Source organism: Homo sapiens, chromosome 21 (genome assembly GCF_000001405.40).
Source record: "Homo sapiens chromosome 21, GRCh38.p14 Primary Assembly".
NCBI classification, from domain to species: domain Eukaryota; kingdom Metazoa; phylum Chordata; class Mammalia; order Primates; family Hominidae; genus Homo; species Homo sapiens.
In genome coordinates this window covers 25,696,331-25,720,746 of record NC_000021.9, presented here as the reverse complement: position 1 = coordinate 25,720,746, position 24,416 = coordinate 25,696,331, and the positions used below count along the sequence as shown (strand labels likewise).

At 39.8% G+C, this 24,416-nt stretch overlaps 1 protein-coding gene and 1 long non-coding RNA gene across 5 annotated transcripts in view; one reads left to right on the top strand and one right to left on the bottom strand.

Annotated features, from left to right (window-relative positions):
* The first annotated feature begins 245 nt into the window (after positions 1-245).
* On the top strand, positions 246-24,229 carry LOC124905002 (uncharacterized). The gene is made up of 2 exons (XR_007067827.1): positions 246-3,086; positions 23,913-24,229. It is a non-coding gene; the product is annotated as an uncharacterized LOC124905002 (long non-coding RNA).
* The window catches only part of JAM2 (junctional adhesion molecule 2), a 78,305-nt gene continuing 57,073 nt past the window's right edge, over positions 3,185-24,416 (bottom strand). For 2 of the 4 annotated variants that reach the window (NM_021219.4, NM_001270407.2), the window contains 6 exons: positions 21,868-22,070; positions 18,478-18,577; positions 14,661-14,768; positions 11,298-11,313; positions 8,365-8,407; positions 3,185-6,107 (listed from right to left, as the gene is read on the bottom strand). In NM_021219.4, coding sequence (NP_067042.1) covers positions 6,075-6,107; positions 8,365-8,407; positions 11,298-11,313; positions 14,661-14,768; positions 18,478-18,577; positions 21,868-22,070 — 503 coding nt within the window. In that variant the 3' untranslated portion in view covers positions 3,185-6,074. Of the gene's footprint in view, positions 6,108-6,172; positions 6,517-8,364; positions 8,408-11,297; positions 11,314-14,660; positions 14,769-18,477; positions 18,578-21,867; positions 22,071-24,416 lie in introns of those variants that run through there. The other 2 variants (NR_072999.2, NM_001270408.2) reach the window with 2 other exon arrangements.

Sequence of the window (24,416 nt, the reverse complement as noted above, 5' to 3'; positions counted from 1 at the left end):
CTGGGCGCAGTGGCTCACACCTGTAATCCCAGCACTTTGGGAGGCCGAGGTAGGCAGATCACTGAGGTCAGGAGTTCAAGATCAGCCTGGCCAACATGGTGAAACCCTGTCTCTACTAAAAATACAAAAATTAGCCAGGCATGTTGGCCGGTGCCGGTAATCCTAGCTACTCAGGAGGCTGAGGCACGAGACTTACGTGAACCCAGGAGGCTGCAGTGAACCAAGTTTGCGCCACGGCACTCCAGCCTGGGTGACAGAGCGAGACTGCATTTCAAAAAAAAAAAAAAAAACCATAAGCAACTTTAGGACTCCAACTATAGCTCTTGGTAAATCTCTATTTTTATACCATCTTTAAGAAACTTTATAAATAGCACACTTGAAGTTGAAAATAAAGGATCATGAAATGGAGCTTTGAAACAGCCTGCTTTCAATCTCAAAGAAGGTAAACAGGTCCTTTGTTGACACACACTTAACTTGTTTTGAGAGCATTTTCTTGGTGGAAAGTAAAAAGACATTTTACACTCCAGTTTGTCTTAATTAGTACATTTTTTCAAACCTGGTCAAGTAAAAACTTAGCATATATTGAAAAGTAAACAAATATTGAAAGTATCACAAATGAAAGCTTTTAGTTTACCTTGAATTTCTTAACCAACTGTTAACACTAAAAGTGTTCCAAAAAGAGAAAACAAAAGATGAAAAATTAAATTTTAAAATTTGAAAGTTGGAAAAATATTTGAAGAGCTTCTTAAGAACTGTGTGGAAATTCATGTCTAATTGCTAAAAGACTGGTATGAGAAAAATAGTTTCCATCCAGCCTTCATTCATGGAACAACTTTGTAACTTCACATATTAGATAACTATTATAATTACATATTTCAGAATACAATCATTTATTAATATTTGAACTAAATTTATGGGGAAATTTTATAGTTAAATACTAAATTTGCTCTTTGACAAGTGTTCCTTTGATTTTTAAAAATTCATTTATCACATTAAATACCAACCACGTTAGATGCTGTTAAATTCTTTGGGTCTTATAAAGTTGTGTAAAACATGGTTCTTTTCTCAAAATGCTTCCAGATTGGTAGGGGTGTCAAACATGTTCATTCCTATTATGGGGTAGAAACCAGTAAGTGAATCAAGGGTTACGGAAATTCAGAGAAGAAAGAGTTTCCAGCAGGGGAAATGAGAGAAGGCTGTCCTAGAGGGGGTGGAATTTGACCTGTCTCTTAATAAGTAGATAGAATATACAAGTCTTGTGGTTAGGAGAATTAACATTCCAGGTGGATAGGGTGTTATAGGTAAGTGTATAGAGGAGGGGGAAATGGGTTAAGATAAAATGACCATAGCTCAGTTTAATGGGTACATGAGGCAACCGAAGAAGTTAGTAGAACATATAGCTGAATACGTAGGCTGTGGCAATATGATGGGATATGTCTGTGATGGGTGGGAAACCTTGAATTCCAGGCTGAGGAGTTTAGATTTTGTGATAGACTAGGTAAAGGAAGAGTGAAAGGGTTTAGCCAGGGGAAAGGAGAAGGGAGTTGACATGGTTCGAGAGAAATGGGGCAAATTGATGGATGGGGTGGGGGGAAGAAGAGATTAGAGGGAAAAGGAGCCTTTGGAACTGGAGAGATTGACGTTGTGACTGAGAGGGTACTGGAGGGTGGAAGTTCCCGGAGATAAACGTTGAGATGCTATTGAAAGCCTGAGATAAAAGGATGAAAGTAGTGACTGAAGAATCAAATAAGACAATGAATGATGTAGTCAGTGAATAAATGGGAGGCTAAAGATGGAGAGATTTAGAGATAGGAGGGGGCAGTGGTGGTGATAGGATTTAAATGCATTCATCCTGGTTAGCCTCAATATTTTTCAAAATAATATTAGAGATTTGGGCATCTTCGGAGAATGAGAGGAGAGTGGAAGAGAATGAAATGGCCCACTGTGATATTTAGACTGGGTTAGGGGAAAGGCATGACAAAAAGGTATTTTGTCTGGCAGTGAGACCAGGAAGGCGATGAGGGGCCAGAGATAACTGGGGGTGAAAGGAAAGTGTGACAGAGAAGCGCACAAGAATTTAAAAGGACTGGGCTCGGCTGGGCACAGTGGCTCACGCCTGTAATCCCAGCACTTTGGGAGGCCGAGGTGGGCAGATCACAAGGTCAAGAGATCGAGACCATCCTAGCCAACTTGGTGAAACCCCATCTCTACTAAAACCACAAAAATTAGCTAAGCATGGTGGAGCGCGCCTATAGTCCCAGCTACTCGGGAGGCTGAGGCAGGAGAATTGCTTGAACCCTTGAGGTTGCAATGAGCTGAGATCGCGCCACTGCACTCCAGCCTGACGACAGAGCGAGACTCCGTCTCAAAAAATAAATAAATACATAAAATTTAAAAATAAATAGATAAATAAAAGGACCGGGCTTAGGCCTATAGTAATGCCAGCAGTTTCGGAGGCCGAAGAGGGAGGAGCGCTTGAGTCAAGGAGTTTGAGACCAGCCTGGCGACGTGGCAAGACCCCCCTTCTACAAAAATATAATAAATAATTAACTGGGCATGGCACACACCTGTGGTGTCACCTATTTGGGAGGCTGAGCTGGGGGAATCACTTGAGCCTGGAAAGTCAAAGCTGCAGTAAGCCGTGATCGCGGCACTGAACTCCAGCCTGGGTGACAGAGCAAAACCCCATCTCAACAATAACAGCAAAGAATTTAAAAGGAAGTCAGCCTGGGGGTAGAGAAAAACATGGTGTGTGAAACATCCTGGATCAGACTGATCTGGGTCCCCACAGACCCTGATTCCTCACTCCTCAGCTCCATGAACTTGACAAGTCAGTAACTCTTGTTTCCTCATCTGCAAAATGATGACATTACCCACTTTATAGTATCGCTGAGATGAATGAGATTTTCTACATCCTCACCCCCATCCATCCCCACCTCTGACATATATAAAGTGTTCAATAAATAGTTGTTGCTTTTTATTTTCAGAGCATTTTTCTCAGCATTTGAGAAGTTGGCAGCCATCCAGAGATGATGACATTCTAATCTTAAGCAGCTAACCAGCAGCTAGCCTTGTAGCTACAGAAGGTAAGAGGGTGTAGTTTCCTGGGTTTTATGAATAACAATAGGTGGATGACTCTTTCCCTGCACTGTTATATGGGGCTAAAAAGTTTAACAAGTTCAGCTATTTTTATTAGTGTAGACTTTAATCGAACAAAGCCACCTGTGGAAAAAGGAAGTTCTTTGCAAAGTTGTATTGAAAAGCAATCAATTGGTCCAGACTTAGGTCAAACCTCCAACTAAAAATAAATTAAATCTAGTTACAACAGCAACAATAATTAAAACAAAACAAAGCTTGCTAATAAGATTTTAAAGCCCTAATCTTTACACAACACAATTCACTGCAGGAAAATAAAGTCAAAATGCTGTAAGAATTACAATGGGATTTTACCAGTTGTTAGTGTTCAAGTTCCTCAAGTAAACACAAATGCAAATACAAGTCTGGACACCAGTGACCCACAGATACATATATATACTTTTAATAGGAAATTAGTGCTCAATACTCTGCCCTTTGTGTGGGGGAAAACATTCTTTTATACAAGGATTTTTACCTAGCTATTACAATAGTTTAAGGTAATGTACAATATATATTTGACACAGAGAGTGTTATTAGATGTTCGCACTGCATAAAATGAATCCTCTAGCCTTTGATGTCTTAAAAAGAAGTTTTACAACTATTAGTGAAGCTAAGGCACTACATATTTTCCTTCCACAATATGGATTTGTGTCATTTAAACTGAAGAAGTTGATCTTGTGTGATGACAGGTATGTCTGAAGAGGCGTCTTTCAGAGTCATCTATCCTCTTGGCATGCCAATGCAAGAGGAAAGCATTCCTCAAACCAAAGAAATCTTCCAACCAAAACATAGGTAACATTTAGCCTGATTTCTTACAAAAGCTTGTAGACAGGTGTTTTTTTCTGTACTTCACCACCATGAGTTGGGAATCTATGCCTGTGGGCCAAATCTTGTCTGTGCCTGCTGTTTTTGTAAATAAAGTCTTATTGGAACACAGACATGACTACTTGCTTGTTTTGTCTGTGGCTGCCTTTGTGCTACAATGGCAGAGTCAAGTAGTTGTTAACAGGGACCTTATGACTTAAAATATCTACTTTCTGGCTCTTTACAGAAAATGTTTGCCGATCCCTGACTCGTGGTGAAAATTTTATTTTGGGGGCAGAGCCATGTTACAGAAGCCCGACCTCCAGGAAGGGATCTGGTGAGAGACATAGCATGTCATAGACAAGTCAAAGGGGGAGCATCTTCCCGGTGGCCTGGTGTCCAGGCACATGCTAGGCACTCAGTGGGTGCTTAATCCATTTGTTCGGTGAATCCTGGGGATTTGCTTCGCCAATTGGGTAGAAAGAGCAGACTCTTTTGAAAGAAGATTAACCTGCCCAGTGCAGTGGCTCATGCCTATAATCCCAGCACTTTGGGAGGCTGATGGGGGTGGATCATTTGAGGTCAGAGGTTTGAGACCAGCCTGGCCAACATGGTGAAACCCTTCTCTACTAAAATACAAAAATTAGCCAGGTGTGGTGGTACACGCCTATAATCTCAGCTACTTGGGAGGCTGAGGCAGGAGAAGTGCTTGAATCTGGGAGGCGGAGGGGAGGCGGAGGTTGCAGTGAGCCAAGATTGTGCCACTGTACTCCAGCCTGGGCGACAGAGTGAGACTCCGTCTCAAAAAAAAAAAAAAAAAAAGAAAGAAGATTAACCATCATGTTCATAGTTGTCAAAGGTAGCAAGTGACCTTTTCATCCACATTTGCCCAGAAGAATAGGACATGCCCTAGCCATATTTTGTTTTTAATATCAATTCAGTAATTAAAAGAAGTTACAAATGATATGAATTTTTAACATAGTCTAATTGCTCTGGTAAACGGATCATTGGAATTTTCACATTGTAATAGTAGCTGGAAGCTTTTGTGGTTCATCGGTTGAGAAACCCACATTAGATCCACTTTTCGTTTGAGCCATTGCTCATGTGCCCACTGTGTTTCAAGAGGGGTACCAGATGCAGGGAGTCATACTGAGCTTTTTCGTCTCATTTTCCTGGTAGACTATTACTTCTTCCCTCCACATCCCTCCTTGTCCAAAAGCAGAATTGTCAACCCCTGACTAAGGGACTTGGCCCGGAATGTCACTGCACAATTTTTAGAGACAGAAAGATGTGAAGTCACCACTCCTGCAGGGAAAGGTATCTGCAAACTTGTGTAGGCTCCAGTGGTGAGTTCTGATGTCAAAGTCACTGATCCTCTTCAAAGAAATCTTACAAGAAGGAAGCAGTGGCAAGCAGCAGTAGGGGTGAAATAAGCCACTTGGGTTTGTGTTTGACCATCTAAATTACGTTTAATGAAGAAATCAGTGACACACACCAGGCAAATCCTGTGGTGCACACCTGTGGGCTCCAGCCATTAGGCATTTCTTTTGATGTTGCTTTTAGTTCCCAGGAATGGAAGTAAACACAAAGTGCAAATCCTTGGGCATAAGACCCATCCCGCTTCCTCCTTTCTGTGGGTGTGTTAGTGATGAACGAGCATCAGAATAAGGATGATATTAGGGGAGAAAAGAGGATTCTGGCAGAAATGAGACCAGAGGTTCCTTTTGCATCTGTCAGAGTATTTGTTGGACCCCCTAAATCAGACTCTCGTGCAGAGTCTGATTTATATTTTCATGACCTGTGGATTGACTTCACAATCAGTATGTTATATTTTAGTAACGTTCTCTAGAAGTTAGGACGTGGTTAACATTTCCCAAAGCCCAGGACATTACAAAGTATTTTAATTCTTTTAACTTAGTCCAGACACAAGAAGCCAGATTATATTTTAGGTGTCGACAGAACTATTTGTTTAAAATAGCAAGTTCAGGTGAGTTAGTAGTCATGAAAATTAAAATGAAATACCAATTCCATTTCCTCGTGTACCTCTTTGCAAATGTCGGACAAAGCAGAGTTTTATAATAGTTTAATAACTTGTGTAACAACGGTGGCTTTGGTGTATCTCTAAAGTGGAGTCTTTAAATTATAAAGGATTTTGTGTGCTTGAAATCCTAGGAAAAGAAAGAAAAAACAGGTTTAAATATATGAATTCATATTTAAAGAAACATAAATCTTATGAATATCAAGCTATATTTATTGTAAGAATTCTACAGGTAAAAACCAGTATTTATTTATTTATTTATTTTATTTTTTGAGATGGAATCTTGCTCTGTTACCCAGGCTGGACTGCAGTGGCGTGATCTCAGCTCACTGCAACCTCCGCCTCCCGGGTTCAAGTGATTCTCCTGTCTCCCAAGCAGCTGGAACTGCAGGCACATGCCACCATGCCCAGCTAATTTTTGTATTTTAGTAGAGATGGGGTTTCACCATATTGGCCAGACTGGTCTAGAACTCCTGACCTCGTGATCCGCCCGCCGCGGCCTTCCAAAGTGCTGGGATTACAGGCGTGAGCCACTGCACCTGGCCAAAACCAGTATATATTTAATTAAACTTGTTTTATGGGGAATTAACTAACTAACTCCTAGCAGACAAGGTACTCTGAAGCTTTGCCTAGAGAGTAAAGAGGTAGGACTGGAAGGCAGAGGCAGACAAATCCTGTTAGGAGGATGCCCCGGCATCTGGTGTTGGAGGCCAGGCCTGTGGCTACACATCCTATGATGTACAGGACAGCACCTTACACCAAAGAATGATGTGGCCCAAAATATCAGTAGTGCTGAGGTTGAGAAACCCTGTGGTAGGGCACAAGAGAACTGAAGGGGACTCTAGCTGTTAGTTGATAAGGGCAACTGAGAGGAAGGCAAAGAAAAAATAAATGGCTTTTGTTCATTCAGTTTAGCCACAATGTGCTTCATACTGTTTGGAGGGATGGGAGTATTCGATTCCACACTCCAAGAGTACTTTCTGTAAATTGCAGAAACAAAGACTTTCCATAAATTGTAGGCACAAAAATGGTGGGAACAAAGTTTCTTGTCCCCTAATTAAACATCAGTAAGCTTTCAGTGTAGTAAACCACAAAATAAGGTGAATTCTGTAATAGTTTCTGGAACAGTTTTTGAAAATCAAATTTTTACAGAAAAGTGGGTAAGCATTTAAAATACTGATGTCCAGGCTCCCCCGCCCCACCCCACCCCCCAGACTCTACTGAGAAGAAATCTGACAGAATTCCTGCCATAGATGAGTAAAGCATTTCTGAGAACCCATGCTTTGTTTCTCAAGAAACGACTTAGGCCTCTAAAACCATAGGAACTCCCCCTGCCCCAACCCACTATATTCCTGAGAAAATCATCCAGAAGGCTGAATATCCATCCAAAGAGCTACAAAATCTGAGTAACAATGGTATTTGCTGCATCAATGTAGTGTTTACAAAGGGTCCAAGTGTCTAAATTATGTTCCTTAAAACCTCTGAGTTAGGTAATTACTGCGTCTTTTCAAACATTTCTGAAATGTTCCTTTCAATTATAACAGGATATTCTGTGCTCTGGTCTGAATGTTTGTGTCACCCAAAATTCATATGTTGAAACCTAATCCCTAATGCAATACTATTAAGAGGTGGGGCCTTTAGGAGGTGATTAGGTGATGAGGGCAGGACCTTCATGAATGGAGCTAGTGCCCGTACCAAAGAGGCCAGAGGGTGCTTGTTTTGCCCCTGCTACTATGTGAGGACACAGCAGGAAGTCTCCATCTATGAGGAACAGGCTCTCACTAGACATTGAGTCTACTGGTGCCTTGATTGTGGACTTCCTGGCCTCCAAAACTGAAAATAAATTTGTTGTTTGTAAATTACCCAGTGTATGGTATTTTTGTTATAGCAGCCCAAATGACTAAGACATTGCATAGCCCTAAAATGTTCCAAGTGCTTCACATAACCAAAGGTGAGTCCTAGAACCACAGCTCTGCTGGAACCACTCTGCTTGGTCAAGCTACAGGGAAGAAAAGAGCCTGGGTCCCAGCTCCACCACTGTTACCCTGTAAGAACCTGTGTTTTAATTTACTCATCTGTCAAAGGGAGCTGATAATGCCAGACCTAGTGATACTAAGAAGGCAGACTAATTATAGAAAATACCATGAAACAAATAATGATATGATTAAAGATCACTTCTGCTATTGGAAATGCCAGGTATCTTTATCATGCCATCCTAGACAGGGTACAGAAGCTAACATCTACTTAGCTCCTTTTAAACACCAGTGATAGACACTGGTGCAAAGTGTATTAAAAGTGAAAATTCACAAAGTCCATATAATTACTTCATTTCCCTGCCCTATTCCCCAAACATATTCATTCTATAAATATGCTTTAAAGATACTCACATTTTCACTCATTGTCGTGGCTTTAGATGAAGAATTACTCTTCCTGTTTGTGGAATATAAAAGACAATATTTACTACATTATCACTTCCAATCTGGAACATATATGCTCTTTTAGTTAATTTTACTTCCATACATTTTCTCAGCAAGAACATGAACATATATCTTAGGTAGAAAAAAAGACAATTCTTACTGAATTTCTTATATTTACAGACAATATTCACAGAGAAAGTCATGCAACAAAACATCAGTGTGAAGCCTTGTGCACGTAAATGTAGCTTGTGGCTAGTATACTAAAGATTTTTGTGGAATACACAAACCAGAGACTTACTAACTTTTAATTTAATATATTAACATTTAATATTTTGAAAGCTTGACTATTATAATCTCAAAATTTATTTATTTTTCCGTGGAAAAAGTTTTACATGGTGACTAGTGTTCCAGTCATCCATTTCGTTATTGAACATATTTTGAAGGCCACAGATTTAATGAATGTGAGGGCATATGTCTAGGAATGAAGTTATTCCCCACCAGATTACTACTTGATTTGCTAGAGATACTGATAGAAGAATAACCTCCCTCACTGCAGCTATGTCACCCTTCCCACTTACGTAAGATGATGTCTCCCCTCTGCTCAAAACCTTCCAATTACTTTTCGTGTCACTCAATAAAAGCAGAAGTCCTCACAATCACCTGGAGGTTAGGGGTGGGAAGTAGCAACACTTTCCAGCTACCCTGCCCTTCTGAACTCACTGGCTTTATTACTGCTAATTCTTGATAATCTGAACTTCAACCTAGACTTGTATTAGGATCTTACGAGACTGAGAGACCAGGATTGAGCCAGAAATCTGGGAACAGGAAGTCAATGGCAGATGATTCTTCAAAGGAATTAGGAGATGACAAACTGTCTGAAGCCATGGCTTCAGTATATCTTCTCCACTCCCAGCTGCCATAGCCTCAGATAGTTTGTCATCCATCTTCTCTCTACGCCCATAGAGCCAAAGTTAGGTCTGCCAGATCTGTACATACAAGAAGGACAGTCATAAAACAAGTACACACAAACTACAGGGCGTTGGGGAGCTCACCCATATTTCATGTACCAATGACTCCTACAATTCCATTTCCAGTTATTTCCCCAAACTCTAGATTTTGAATATTCAGTTACTGATAACCTCTACTTGGAATCAAATAAGCATATCAAATATTAAAATTCCAAACACTCCAACCTCTCCACTTATTCCCATCACCACTCCCAAACTCTCTCCTCTTAAAATCTTCCACACTTCCGTAAATGGTAATTCCATCCTTCTCATAACCTTGAAGCCATCTTCGATTTCTCTGCTTCTCTCACAGCCCACATCCAACAGATCAGCAAGTTATTAAAACATTATATCCAAAACACTGTCACTTCTCAGCATCTCCAACACTGCTTTGGCACCAGCCACCATTTTCTCTTGCCTCACTTAGTGTGGTAGTTTGCTAACTGATCTCCCTGCTTCCACCTTTTGTCATCTCATAGTTTATTCTTAACAGAGAAGCCAGTGTGAGTTTTGAAAAATTAAAATGACACCACTCCTCTGCTTAAAGCCCTCCAGTGACTTTCTATCTTACTCAGACCAAAGCCAGACTCCTCACGACTGCCTAAAAGGGACTCCTTACAATCTGCCCCCACCGCTACTTTTGTACGCTCATCTCCTCTGTTTCTCTCATTCTGTTCCAGCCACCCTGGTCCCGCTGACATCCCTCAGATATTCTAGGCTTGCCTGGCCTCAGGATCTTTCAATTTGCTCTCTCCCCTCTGCCTGAACGCTCTTCTCATGGTTATTTGCACAACTTGCTTCCTCACCCTCTTCAGGCCTTTCTCAAAAATCACTTAGTGAGATCCTTTCTGACCACCCTATTTGAAATTAGAATCTCTACTCCTACCCTTTGTATTGTATATTCTCTTATTTGTTTTATTTTTCTCCATAATGGCCCTATCTGATATACTATATAGTATTACCTGTTTATTTTCTGCCTTTCTCTACTAGAATGTAAGCTCCATAAGGCAGAGTTTTGTGGGGTTTTTGGCCTGTTTTGTTCACTGCTGTATCCCCATTCCTTAGAACAGTGTTAGGCACAAAATTGGTATTCAATTAATATAAAAAAATGACTGTTAACTAAAATTTTATTTGAAAATTTTCAATTTAGCAAAATACAGTAAATTTTTTTTAAGTTAGTTTATACAAATGCCTATGAAATCAAATTAGTGACCATATTTCTTGTCTGGGTAATCATCATTCTCTCTGTACTACCATTTACAAGTAGGCTGGGTAATCATCATTCTCTCTGTACTACCATTTACAAGTAGGTATGAAGTGTGAAGTGGGATGTTGATAGAGTCTGGATATTTGCCTTGCCCAAATCTTATGTTGAATTGTAATCCCCAATGTTGGAGGTGGGGTTTGTTGGAGCCGATTAAATCATGGGGGCGGATTTCTCATGAATGGTTTAGTACCGCCCCCTTGATGCTGTCCTCAGAATAGTGACTGAGTTTTCTTGAAATCTGGTTGTTTAAAAGTATGTGGCACCTCCCCAACCTTGCTCCTGCTTTTGCCATGTGACGTGCCTGCTCCCGCTTTGCCTTCAGCCATGAGTAAAAAGCTTCCTGAGGCCTCCCCAAAAGCCAAGCAGTGTTGGTGCCAGGATTGTACAGCTTGCAGAACCGTGAGCCAATTAAACCTCTTTTTACAATAAACTACCCAGTCTCGGGTATTTTCTTACAGCAATGCAAGAACAGCCTAATACAGATGTATTTCTTGATAAACTTGAGTAACTTCTTGTGAGAGTAAACCTACACAAATAACCCAACTTCTCTCTTTTGACTTTAAACAGATGATTAATAGAAAATTAGTTGACATAGGAGAAAGACATGCATTGTAGGAAAGTATACTTACTGGAAGGAGGTTTCTTCTACAAAAGAAAAAGTATATATCATTAATGCAAGGGTTATTATGGTATGATACAGATTCATATAAAAATGAGTTTGGGTTTAATTTATTTTTATTAATTTTAATCTTCACTTGCTGACGTTTATACCTTCTAAATTAAGAGTTGGCAAACTTTTTTGGTAAAGAGCCATACAGCAACCATTTTAGGCTTTGGGGCCAAGAGGATACTATATAGGTACTTAAGTAACAAGAGAGCAAACAAATTTCCAAACATTTTTATGGATAAAATAAAAATATAATAATAATAATAACAATAATAATAAAAGTCTTGAAAAACAGGCCTACTAGTTAGAGAAATGGAATGCTTTTGGGGAAGATAACATTTCTCTTAATTGGGGTTCAAAGTCAGCGGGCCCTATCATCAAATAGATTGTAAATGTTCATCTGTAAAGCCATTTTTGTTCATAGGCCATAGAAAAATAGGCGGGGAGGGCAGATTTGGTCCACAGATAGTAGTCTGCCAACCTCTGTCCTAAACATATATTCAAGAATATGCTTCTCTTGGATAGATTTTTCTGCTAGATGAAAAATCAGAGTAACATTCTTAGGTAACGAACTCCTAATATTCAAGTCAACTTTTAATTAATTCAATATTTTAGGAAAATTTTTTTACTAACTCCTCATTAAAAAAACTCAGACCAGTATTATTTTAGGCTATAGATAAAGATGACAAGAGTTTTGGAAGAGTTATCTTATTTGTCTGTACTTTCACTGATGACCAGCAGGGGGCCACAGCTGGATTCAATTCATAAAGTTACATTAAAGTGGGCTAAATTGAAGCACTGAACAAGTATTAATTGACAGAGCCGCTCTTTTTGTTTGTTTGTTTGGTCAGTGTCTTGCTCTGTTATCCAGCTTGGAGTGCAGTGGTGAGATTACAACTCACTGCAGCCTCGACCTTCTGCGCTCAAGCGATCCTCCTACTTTAGCCTCCTGAGTAGCTGGAACTAAAGGTGTGTGCAACGATGCCTGGCTTATTTTTTATTTTTTGTAAAGAAAGGGTCTCCCTATGTTTCCCAGGCTGGTCGTGAAGTCCTGGACTCAAGTGATCCTCCTGCCTCGGCCTCCCAAAGTGTTGGGAATGCAAGTGTGAGCCACCACACCCAGCCCAGTTATTCTTAATTATAGGGCATCTCTTTGAATCCATGTCCACGGAAACATTTTATGAGACATAATACCTAGTTGTAGGTATTATTAGGAACACATTTTATATTTAAGTTTATTTTTGGCATAAAATATATTTTTAAAGGCCAAGAGTGGTGGCTCACACCTGTAATCCTAGCATTTTGGGAGGTTGGGATGGGAAGATTCCTTGATCCCAGGAGTTCAATACCAGCCTGAACAACAGAGCAAGAACCTGTCTCCACAAAAAATAAAAGAAAATTAGCCAGGTGTGGTGGTATGTGCCTGTAGTCCCAGCTACTTGAGAAGGCTGAGGTGGGAGGACTGCTTGAGCCCGGAAAGTCAAGGCTGCAGTGAGCCTTGATCACACCACTGCACCAGGCATGGGTGACAGAGTGAGACCCTGTCTCAAAAAAAAAAAATTGTTTTAAAAATCTAAATTCCGAAATTAATGTTCGCTGTAAAACAATGGGTCTAGAACTTGTATATGCTATAAATTTATAATTCAATTAAGAATTTTATTTTACACACTATTGCCAGTGGCCCTGATAGAATGCTGCAGCTTCTGAGCTCTCCAATAATATTAAAGAGGGAGTGAAGAAATGCATTAAGAGAATAAAACATTTTTAAATCCCACCCATTTACATCAAACCTATTGCATTATCAAATGGAGGTGTGAAGTTACAAGAGGTCTAAATTTGAAGAATTCAAAACTGTGTACAGAAGTAGCTCTCATAAATACAATAGGTTTCTATTTTTGACTGAACAATTCTCTTTTTTTGTTGTTTTTTTGAGATGGAGTCTTGCTCTGTCACCCAGGCTGGAGTGGAGTGGCATGATCTTGGCTCACTGCAACCTCCACCTCCCAGGTTCAAGTGATCCTTCTGCTTCAGCCTCCTCAGTAGCTGGGACTACAGGTGCATGTCACCACTCCTGGCTAATTTTTGTATTTTTAGTAGAGACGGGGTTTCACCATGTTGGCCAGGCTGGTCTCGAACTCCTGACCTCAAGTAATCCTCCCGCCTCAGACTCCCAAAGTGGTAGGATGACAGGCATGAGCCACCACACCCAGCTGAACAATTCTCTTCTAAATACAGTTGTCCTAAATTTAACATTCAACATTTCACTGTTCTACACTGATGAAATATTTCACTTATTTATTTCAATGAAATTTCTTAAAGAATTTGAAATCAACTTATATCTTGAGATATACAATTCCTAACTTAAAAATATCTTGTCTGGGCGCGGTGGCTCACACCTGTTATCCCAGCACTTTGGGAGGCCAAGGTGGGTGGATCAGGAGGTCAGGAGATTGAGACCATCCCGGCTAACACGATGAAACCCCGTCTCTACTAAAAATACAAAAATTAGCCGGGCGTGGTGGCGGGAGCCTGTAGTCCCAGCTACTCGGGAGGCTGAGGCAGGAGAATGGTGTGAACCTGGGAGGTGGAGCTTGCAGTGAGCCGAAATTGCGCTACTGCACTCCAGCCTGGGCGACACAGTGAGACTCCGTCTCAAAAAAACAAACAAAAAAAAATCTTAAAAACATGCAAAGATACTATAAATATCCGTTCACATTGAATATCTCTGTCTCGCTGCACTGCACCACTCCAAGGATGCCTCTTGCATATTCTGTGGTGCTCCCTGGAATGTGCAACTAGGCAGTTCTGCCTTTTCTCCCTAGGTTTGCCAAGGTGTTTCATAAGCCACCTGCATGTCATCCTGAACATTTTCTATAGCAGAAAATAAATGAACAATATTCTCCAGAGTTTGTTAAAACTTGCTAGGAGAGGGCCGGGCACAATAGCTCACACCTGTAATCCCAGCACTTTGGAAGGCCAAGGCAGGCAGATCACTTGAGGCCAGGAGTTCGAGACCAGCCTGGCCAACATAGCGAAACCCCATCTGTACTAAAAATACAAAGATGAGCTGGGTGTGTTGGTGCACACTTGCAATCCCAGCTATTTGGGAGGCTGAGACATGAGAATCACTTGAACCTGGGAGGTGGAGGTTGTATTGAGTGGAGATTTTGCCACCACTGCACTCCAGCCTGGGCAACAGAGCAAGACTCTGTCTGAAAAACAAACAAACAAACAAAAAAACAACTTCCTAGGAGAAACAGTATCTCATAAATAAACTCCATAGCCATAGAAAGTTATCTGCCAAAGAAGGGTGAAATTCACTTACTTGAAAAGTAGCCTTTCCTCTGAGCATAGCATACACCAAGGCCACAAACGGAAATCACTAAGGCCACAACTACTACGGCTGCTATGATGCCACTTATGTTGAGATCATCTGGAATGTAAAATAAATTACGCATAAATATATGTGGATTACACGGACAGATGCAGTCATTAAATTGAAAAGGTTCAAAAAAAGATCCCCTTTGCAGCTATATCATAAAGCATACTTTAACGATTGTGAAGCCTGTTCAACTAACTCACTTCTAAGACATGGTTCAAAATTGATTAAAAATATTAACAGAACTTAAGCTTTGGAAAAATACTAAATTTTAAAAACTTCTCAGATTAAAAAATAAAATGTATTCTTTTGCATTCATTTGGAGATGTGTAATAATTCACAGGATTAAAAGACTGGAAGCAATCTTTGAAGTTCAATGAGTTCAAGTATTCTACTGCCACTCCCTACCCCACGTCTTACTTAAAATTCTCCTACATCATCAACTGTGTCAATTTCACAAATAAAGAAAAACTCAACGTCAAAGAAAACACATGGTGCCAGGCATGTTGACTCATGCCTGTAATCCCAGCTACTCAGGAGGCTGAGGTGGGAGGACTGCTTGAGGCTAGGAATTTGAGACCAGCCTAGGCAACATAGCAAGAATCCATCTCTAAAAAATAAAAAAATTAAAAAAATTATCCGGGTATGGTGGTGCATTCCTGGAGTCCCAGCTACTCAGGAGGCTGAGGTTGGAGGATCACTTGAGCCTAGGAGTTTCAGATTATAGTGAACTATGATTGCACTACTTCTCTCCAGTCTGGGTGACAGAGCAAGACTGTCTCTTAAAAAAAAGCACATGTCATTGTTATTCTGTAAAACTAAGTGTAAGAAATACGTTCCTTCTTGAATTATATGGGTGTAGATATACAATTATATGTATATGGGTGTATACACACATACACAGTCATATACATATATGCAACTAAACTGTCATCCCATTTATGAAAAATGAATTAAATTCTCTGAGGCTTTTCCTATGACTGTTAAGGCATCCGTCCTCTAATGTAATGCAACTGGATTTTTTGAACCCAAGTTTGGAAATAACTACTGTGAAGTTTTTTTCTTCTTCTCAGATTGATTCTGTTGCCTAATAATTACATTATTAACCTTCCAAGCTTAACATTTCTGCAAATTGAGAATTTTATTAAAAATACTCTCATTCAAGTCATTAATAACATGATGAACATGGATTTGTTTAGGAAACAACTATGTAACAGGCTAGCAGACACCTCCTGTCATACAACACAATTTATTAACATTCTCTGAGCATGGGATTCAACTGTGTGTGGATCCACCAAAATATTGTTTGGACCATATTTCTCCATCTTGTCCATGAGGATTTTATGAGCCACACTCTTCTGCCATTTAGATACTTCCCATGTATTTATTAAAGGAGCAATTCTTCAAAGAGTTCCCATTTTACAAAGCAAGTTTTAATTAGCCTATGATTAAATAACCTAGAGAAAATATTACATAGCATTTTCTCAAAAATAATTTAAATATTTTAAAGCAATGTACATTTTGGAAATGATCTTTTTAGAGATACTGTTTAAGTGAATCTGCTTATCATAAAAACTTCTGGTCTCGAAATTCTTTCCTAATGCCAAGTGTGTTATTAATTTTCTTAAATACCTCCAAAATATTAATTGATTTTTTTAAAAAAGAAAACTTGATAAGTCTTTTGAAAGGTTAAGTAATTTGACCAGAGTAGAAAACATTAATTATTGCTTGGTATAAACTCAGTTTGCTTGGGTATTGAGAGGTCAATAAGATTCAGCTTTTTATTTACTTGGATTAAAAAGAGCAGAGAGAGAAAAAAATCTACAGTAATCATAATCTTAGGCAAAGTCAAATCAGTAAGTGAAATTCCTGAGAACCAAAGTGTACCTTCTATTTACTTTGTAGTAGTCATTAAATCTGACATCTATGAAGCATTCAAAGTAAGGGCTATTATCTGACAAAAAAAAAAAACTGTCTTGTAGTTTGTCAATGAATTTGACATCTATGAAGGAAGGATTCACCCTAAAAGAAACTACTGACAAAAAATTGTCTTGTTCTGTAAGTGCTAAGTTGTAGTATGAATTTTATGTTATTTTTCTTCAGTGAAATGGGAGACAGAAGAGTAATAGATAAGGAGTAAGTTAACTTCTTACATCCTGTTCACCATTTTCTGTGATGTTGAGCAAGTCATACAGCCATATTATGCCTCAGTGAAGAGAAAATGTAACATTAAGTATGAAAATATTTTGTGTTTTTTTTTTTTTGAAAAAAAAGTCTTTATAAAAGGAAGGTACCATTTTTTTTACTGAAAGAAAAGGAACTAAACTGCTGAAAGGCCCAGTGTGGGTGGAGTCTGCTGGAGTTTTATAGTGAGGCAGCCATAAACAACCAACAAATCCATGCTTTACTTGCTGCACTTTGAAAAAATTTCTTTAGGACAGTTAACATATTCTAATTTTGGTTACATGTGAATATAGTTATAATTCACAAAGAAAACCAAAAAAATGAATTTATGAATTTGTATGTATTTCAAAAGATGTAAGTCCCAACCAAGGACACAAAACACCTCGGATCAATGGATGACCGTTAAACAAACTAATTTTAACTTTTAAGCTAACTTGTACTTAGAGTAGATATGTGAGAATCATGTTCAAATTAAAGTGGTCCTAGTGGAGAAACAAACATTTAAATTTTATTCGTTATGTATTTATTGTGTGCTAAGAAAAAGTAACTAATACATCAAAACCATGACTTCCTGGATATGATTCCTTAAGAGAAGGCAAAGGTAGATGTTTAAATTAAACAGGACCATTTAAATGGAAGGAAAAATAAACAGAAATAGTGCTGGTAGGACAAGGTAATGGTAAAAACCATGAGGACAGGCCGGGTACGGTGGCTCACACCTGTAATCCCAGCACTTTGGGAGGCCAAGGTGGGCGGATCACCTGAGGTCAGGAGTTCGAGAGCAGCCTGACCAACACGGTGAAACCCTGTCTCTACTAAAAATACCAAAATTAGCTGGGTGCGGTGGGCATGCCTGTAATCCCAGCTACTTGGGAGGCTGAGGCAGGAGAATTGCATGAACCTGGGAGGCAGAGGTTGCAGTGAGCCGAGATCACGACACTGCACTCCAGCCTGGGCAACAGACAAAGACCCTGTCTCAAAAAAGCAAAAACAAAAACAAAACAACAACAAAAAAAACCCATGGGGACGTATGTGAATAAAGGAAACAAAGAAAACAATGCCTTAATTTTTAAACATGTTGTGATGAATTTTTTTAAATGATAATTTCAAAGCAGCATTGAAAGGGATACTTTCTGATTACTTAAATAAGTGCTACGTTGACTATAAATGTCAACACCTGAATTAATTTGGTGAATAATATCAATGATATACATTCCTGAATTTTAAAAATATCAGAAATTCAAACTTCTGGACCTTCAACAATTTAGACTACAAGATACTTAGCTTTTATTTGAGAGAAAGACTACTTAGAAGAATGTATTTTAAAAACGATTATTTAAAAAACTAAAAAAAGTTGTTAAATACAATACTAAGTATTTTTGGCTTATTTGGGAGATGGCTTAAAAACAGCATCTTTGCTTCTTTGCAACACATCATATCAAGTTAATTTTAGTCATTCTCTCCTGTTTATTCTTCAAGTCACTCAGACATTTCCTGCTCCTTGCTCCTTGTACCCCCAACTGCTGTACTTCACAGTCGAATTGCAAACCATTTGTTCCTCCCAATATTTCATGCTTACCTACTTGCATTCGTTTCCCAGGACACCTGCGATATCCAACAGAATTGCGGGCTTCACAGGAATATTCTCCAGTGTCCAGTTTGGAAACAGTATTAAATTGCTATTTGTGGATGCAAAAATATATTTTTTTAAGCCATAGATCTATAAGTAGACTTTTTAAATAACCCTGTCCCTCAAATTTTAGCATTAAGTTTGTCTTTCCTTTTTAAAAATTTGGGACTTTCTGTCTTTACTATGAATTTAAAAATCTGCCATGACTTCAAGGAGTTTAAGCTAGACTTTTGCTTAATTTGACGAGAAGAACAAAGATAAAATACATACAGAGAAGTTCCTTTTTTTTTTTTTAACCATGAAAGCAGTACTGTTAGGAAGGCAATGAGTGTTTTTTAAAGTTCATAACACATGGTAGTATTAAGTAGTGTAGGTATTTCTAATTCCTAGGAAACATCATTTATAAATGAAGGGCAGGCCTCCCTGGTAAAAGGGTTAATGCACTTTCCTAAGTCACAAGCGAGTTCACTGCAGCAGCCAACAATAAACACTTCCTTTAAAGAGCCAGTTACTACCAGGAAGTAGCTTAGGGCCTAGGAAAATCTTAATTGGTATCGGTTTATAGGATTGTCGATTCTATCAACTCTAGAATTTTTTTAAATTTGAAAAGAAAAGCCAGCCCTTGCTCCTTCCCATCCCTGTCAAAGCAACCAAAAGCTAAGATTGATATAATAGACTTCGTTATTTTTATCAGTAGTTTTTATCCCCTTGGAGGATATTTGGAAGGAATGAAGGCAGACAAAAAGGAAGAAGAGGAGAAAAGAAAGAAGAGAGGGAGGGAGGGAGGGAGAAAGGAAGGAAGAGAGGGAGGGAGAGAGGGAGAAAGGAAGGAAGGAAAGAAGAAAGGGCTGGAGGGAGGGAAGAAAGGGAGTGTAATCCTGGTCACCTTGAAGGGTCATTGTCTTAGATCCTCCTAGATGGAGGGAGAGAAAGTTTTCCTGTTTTTCTTTTTTTCCACTCTATGGAATCATCTGTCACTCTCCTCAAAGCCAGAATGCTTTTAGAATATTCACCATGAACTCATGGCCAAGGTTACATATAAATAATATGTTAGACTAAAACCCAAAATGATCTTCCAGCATATTATAGCTGGTAATTAAAAGGAAGTCATTGGCTTCCATACACTGGAGTCTTTGTTGTTCATTTCTCACATAAGAACCTATCTTAGTTCAATCCAGGTGCATTCCTTTGACATCACAAGCTATTTCAAGGGTTGAGGTTAGCTGAGGAAAGTGAATCTGTATCCTTTCAGACTTGCCTTGGGGCTTTTACCAACTGCCCTGAGAAAAAATAAATTTGAAAAGTAAATATAGCAAAGTGTGACAGCAGGTTTTTCTGCCCAGTTGCTCAGTGTAAAATCACTCAGACCTGCTGACTGCGCCTGCTGACTGCTGAGAGGCCAGAGCTTAAGAAGTAACTGCATCCAATAGGCTTTATTATTCAGCCACTTTAGCAATTTGCTTTCTTGTTTATCAGAAGATCTGTTTGTAAATGTTACTGTGCACTTGTAGATGAAAGGAATGAAGCATTATATCCTCCTTTCAAAATTCATTAAAATTGGCTGGGTACGGTGGCTCACAGCTGTAATCCCAGCACTTTTGGAGGCCCAGGCGAGCGATCACTTGAGGTCAGGAGTTCAAGACCAGCCTGGCCAACATGGAGAAACCCCGTCTCTACTAAAAATACAAAAATTTGCTAGGCATGGTGGCAGGTGCCTGTAGTCCCAGCTACTCTGGAGGCTGAGGCAGGAGAATTACTTGAACCTAGGAGGCAGAGGTTGCAGTGAGCCAAGACTGCGTCAATGCACTCCAGCCGGGGCAATAGAGCAAGACTCTGTCTCAAAAACATTTTTAAAAATTATTAAAATTGTTATTATCACCACGCCTTTAAGTTTTTTTTTTTGATAATCGCTGTCATAGTGATTCTGCGTTGCTGGAAGGCAGACAATTTTAAACTGACATAGAATATTACATTGACTGAATTTTTTTTAAAAAGCTTCAAGCTTAATGACCCTTTTTTAAACTTCCACTTCTATTCCTATAATCAAAGATGAAAAAGTAAAATACTTTTTATTTTTAAATGTAATTAGCTTCACAGAGCTTGCTTATAGATTGTCATCAGTATTCCTAGAAAGTCTTTCAATAAGAATATTTTACTGGAGGAAACAGAATATCTGGACTCTAAAGTAATAGATACTAAAGTCACAGAGTCAACTGTTGTTGATCTACAGTCATGGAAATATTTAATGATATAGGAATCCTACCATGATTGACTACAGTTACTATTTTCACATGGTCAGGGTATCCCCAAGCAAGTTTTCATGCATTTTCCTGATGTTGTAAATTGAGACTGCACTTAGTAATTTTCCAGGCCAGAAGACAGCTGTAGATAACTGCCTGATTCATCATCATGAATCAGGCTTAGTGGGCTTTGGGGCACTGTTACTTAAGAAGGCAGCATGCATTTTTTTTTTTTTTTTTTTTTTTTTTTTTTTTTGAGACGGAGCCTGGCTCTGTCACCCAGGCTGGAGCGCAGTGGCGCGATCTCTGCTCACTGCAAGCTCCGCCTCCCGGGTTCACGCCATTCTCCTGCCTCAGCCTCCCGAGTAGCTGGGACTACAGGCGCCCGCCACCACGCCCGGCTAAGTCTTTTGTATTTTTAGTAGAGACGGGGTTTCACCGTGTTAGCCAGGATGGTCTTGATCTCCTGACCTCGTGATCCGCCCACCTCGGCCTCCCAAAGTGCTGGGATTACAGGCGTGAGCCACTGCGCCCGGCCGCGCAATTTTTAAAGTTTATAGCACATGGTAGTACTCAGTAGTCTAGGTATTTCTAATTCCTAGGAAACACCACCTATATAAATGAAGGCCTCCCTGGTAAAAGGGTTAATGCACTTTCCTAAGTCACAAGTGAGTTCACTGCAGCAGCAAATAATAAACATTTCCTTTAAAGAGCCAGAGTTACTACCAGGAAGTAGCTTAGGGTCTACGAAAATCTTAATTGGTATCATTTATAGGATTATCAATTCTAGAATCTTTTTAAATTCTGAAAAGATAAACACACAGCCTTTGCTCCTTTGTTTCAGGAGCCTTTGCCCCTTTGCTCTTTTACTGGTCCTTGCACAGTCAGCTCCCTCAGTCTCTGTTTTCTGTTCCCATGTCCTGTAGTAGCTCTTTCCATCACTTCGTGGTACAAGTGCTGCCATCTTTCCTGGTGCCCCTGCCTCTCTCCACTTAGCAAGCAATGGTATCAGCTCTCTATTAAACGTCATCTTAAGTTCTAATAATTTTTTTATCCAAATGCAAGACAGTTATCAAGTCAAATCTTGAAATGACCTTACCAGAGTTCCAGTTTTTGTATTCATTGTGTATGAGCTGTTGGTGCTTTGGGAGCCAAGTCTGGGATTTTCTAGCAAACGGATGCCATCCTTAAACCATGTGTATTCAGGAGCTGGATTCCCTTCTTTGTCTTGACATCGTAGCTCTACCACAGTTCCACTCAGAGCAGAAGAGGGTACTTCACATGATGGAACTGCTGGAGCCACTGAACAATGGAAGTCAAATGATATTGATTATTTATAAGCTAATCAAGGTTGTTTATTTTCTTCAAAGCTGTTGACTTTGTCTCTACAATCAATGGTTTTAATAGCCAGGTAAAGAGGTGTGATTACTGGACCCTGTGATAGAGACTGCTTACTTGTCCAACAAACCCATCTTCTTTCTTCATGGGCACACAGTCGACCATGTTTCCCAGCACTCTTGTTGCCAGATGGGGTCATATACATGAGTTCTGGCCAATGGAATGTGGGAAAAAGTGATATATCCCATTTCTGGGCCAGACTAATTAAAAACCTCCCACATGTTCATTCGTATCCTCCACCCCCTGCAACTACCAAGTAGGTGTCAACAACAATGGTGACCTTGGAACGTCATATATTGAAGATGTCAGAAGATTAGGTTGAGTCTCTAATGATTTCATGAAATAAAGTAATATGGCTCCTCCACCACTGTCCCAACTATTTAGGCTTTACTTAAGTGAGAAAGGAACTTACTATTAAGCAACTCACTGAGAGTTAAGGGCTTATCTGTTATAATAATAAGCATTACTTTAGCTTATACAACAGCTATTCTTTATTAGATAAACGATCTCTACTGTTTTCTTCAATTGGTTTATTACCACTTATATTTAAAAGAAGCCTAATGAGAGAGAGGGAGAGAGAGGGAGAGAGAGAGAGAATGTGTGTGTGTGAGAGAGAGCGAGAGAGAGAGTGTGTGTGTGTGTGTGTGTGTGTGCAGATAGATTTTTTTTTTTTGAGACAGAATCTCACTCTATAACCCAGGCTGGAGTACAGTGGCGTGATCATGGTTTACTGTAGCCTCAACCTCCCGAGCTCAACCCATTGATCCTTCCACCTCAACCTCCCCAGTAGCTGGAATATAGGCTCGAGCCACCACGACCAGCTAATTTTTAAAACTGTTTTTGTATAGACAGGGTCTCACTATGTTGCCCAGGCTAGTCTTGAACTCCTAGGCTTAAGCAATCCTCCTGCTTTGGCCTCCCACAGTGCTGGGATTATAGGCATGAGCCACCACGCCCAGCCAAACCTGAGTATTTTTTTCAGGCCCAGTACTCAACTATAAATCCCATTCTGTCTAGAACTGGCCAAGTTAGAAAATACCTGGTCCAGGTATTAGTGTTATTCTGGTCTCAGGGACTGGAAAGTAAACCAAACTTCATTAGGTGACCTATTTATTATCCAGCAAAACCCAGAACTGGCTGTATTCTAAGGTAGTCTCCCAAGATTGCAGTATTTCTACTGCAGAATTCTAAGGTGGTCTCCCAAGATTGCAGTCCTTGGTATAAATACACTTTTTTTCCAGTTATTCAATCAAACACTAATCTAGGTACTGTAGTAGAAAGATTTTGGAAATGTAACTAAGGCCCCAAAACCATTGTCTCTAAGATAGGATGATTTCATGAATGGGTTTGACCTAATCACATGAACCTTTAAAAGCAGAGAGTTTTCTCTGGCTGATTACAGAAGGAAAAGTCAGATATTCAAGGCACAAGGAGAAGGCTAGGTGTAGTGGCTTATGCCTGTAATCCCAGCATTTTTGGAGGCCAAGGCAGGAGGATCTCTTGAGGACGGGAGTTTGAGACCAGCCTGGGAAACATAGTGAGATCATGTCTCTACAAAAAAAAAAAAAAAAAATAGGTGTGTGCCTGTTGTCTCAGCTGAGATGGGAGGCTGAGATGGGAGAATCACTTAAGCCAAGGAGTTTGAGGTTGTAGTAAGCCGTGATCTGGAAGACAGAGCAAAATTTTGTCTCAAAACAACAACAAAAATGAAGTACAAGAATTTGATATGCTTTTCTTTCATTGAAGATGGAAGGGACCATGTAACAGGGAATGTGGTGGCCTCTAGGAGTTGAGTGTGGCCCACGAACTGATAGCCAGCATGGAACAGAGACCTCTCGGTCCTACAACCACAAGGAACCAAAATCTGGCAACACCAAGAATGAGCCTGGAAACAGATTTTCCTCGTAGCCTGTGGATGAGAACTCAGCCTTGTCAACACCTTTATTTCAGCCTTGTGATACTTTGGGCAGATACCCAGTCTTCTTGTTGGACTTCCGCTCTACAGAACTATTTAGTTGTTATGTAACACTAGAAAATGAATAAACTGGCCGGATCTGCTGCAAGGTTTTCTGATTTAAATTTCTCCTATACTAGTGCATCACTAGTATTTCAGAAGGAGCATGAACAACATGAAAAAGGAAGGGGGCTCCCTCTCCCTCTCCCCCTCCTCCTCCCTCTCCCTCCCTCTCTGTCTCCGTCTCCCCACGGTCTCCCTCTGATGCCGAGCGGAAGCTGGACTGTACTGCTGCC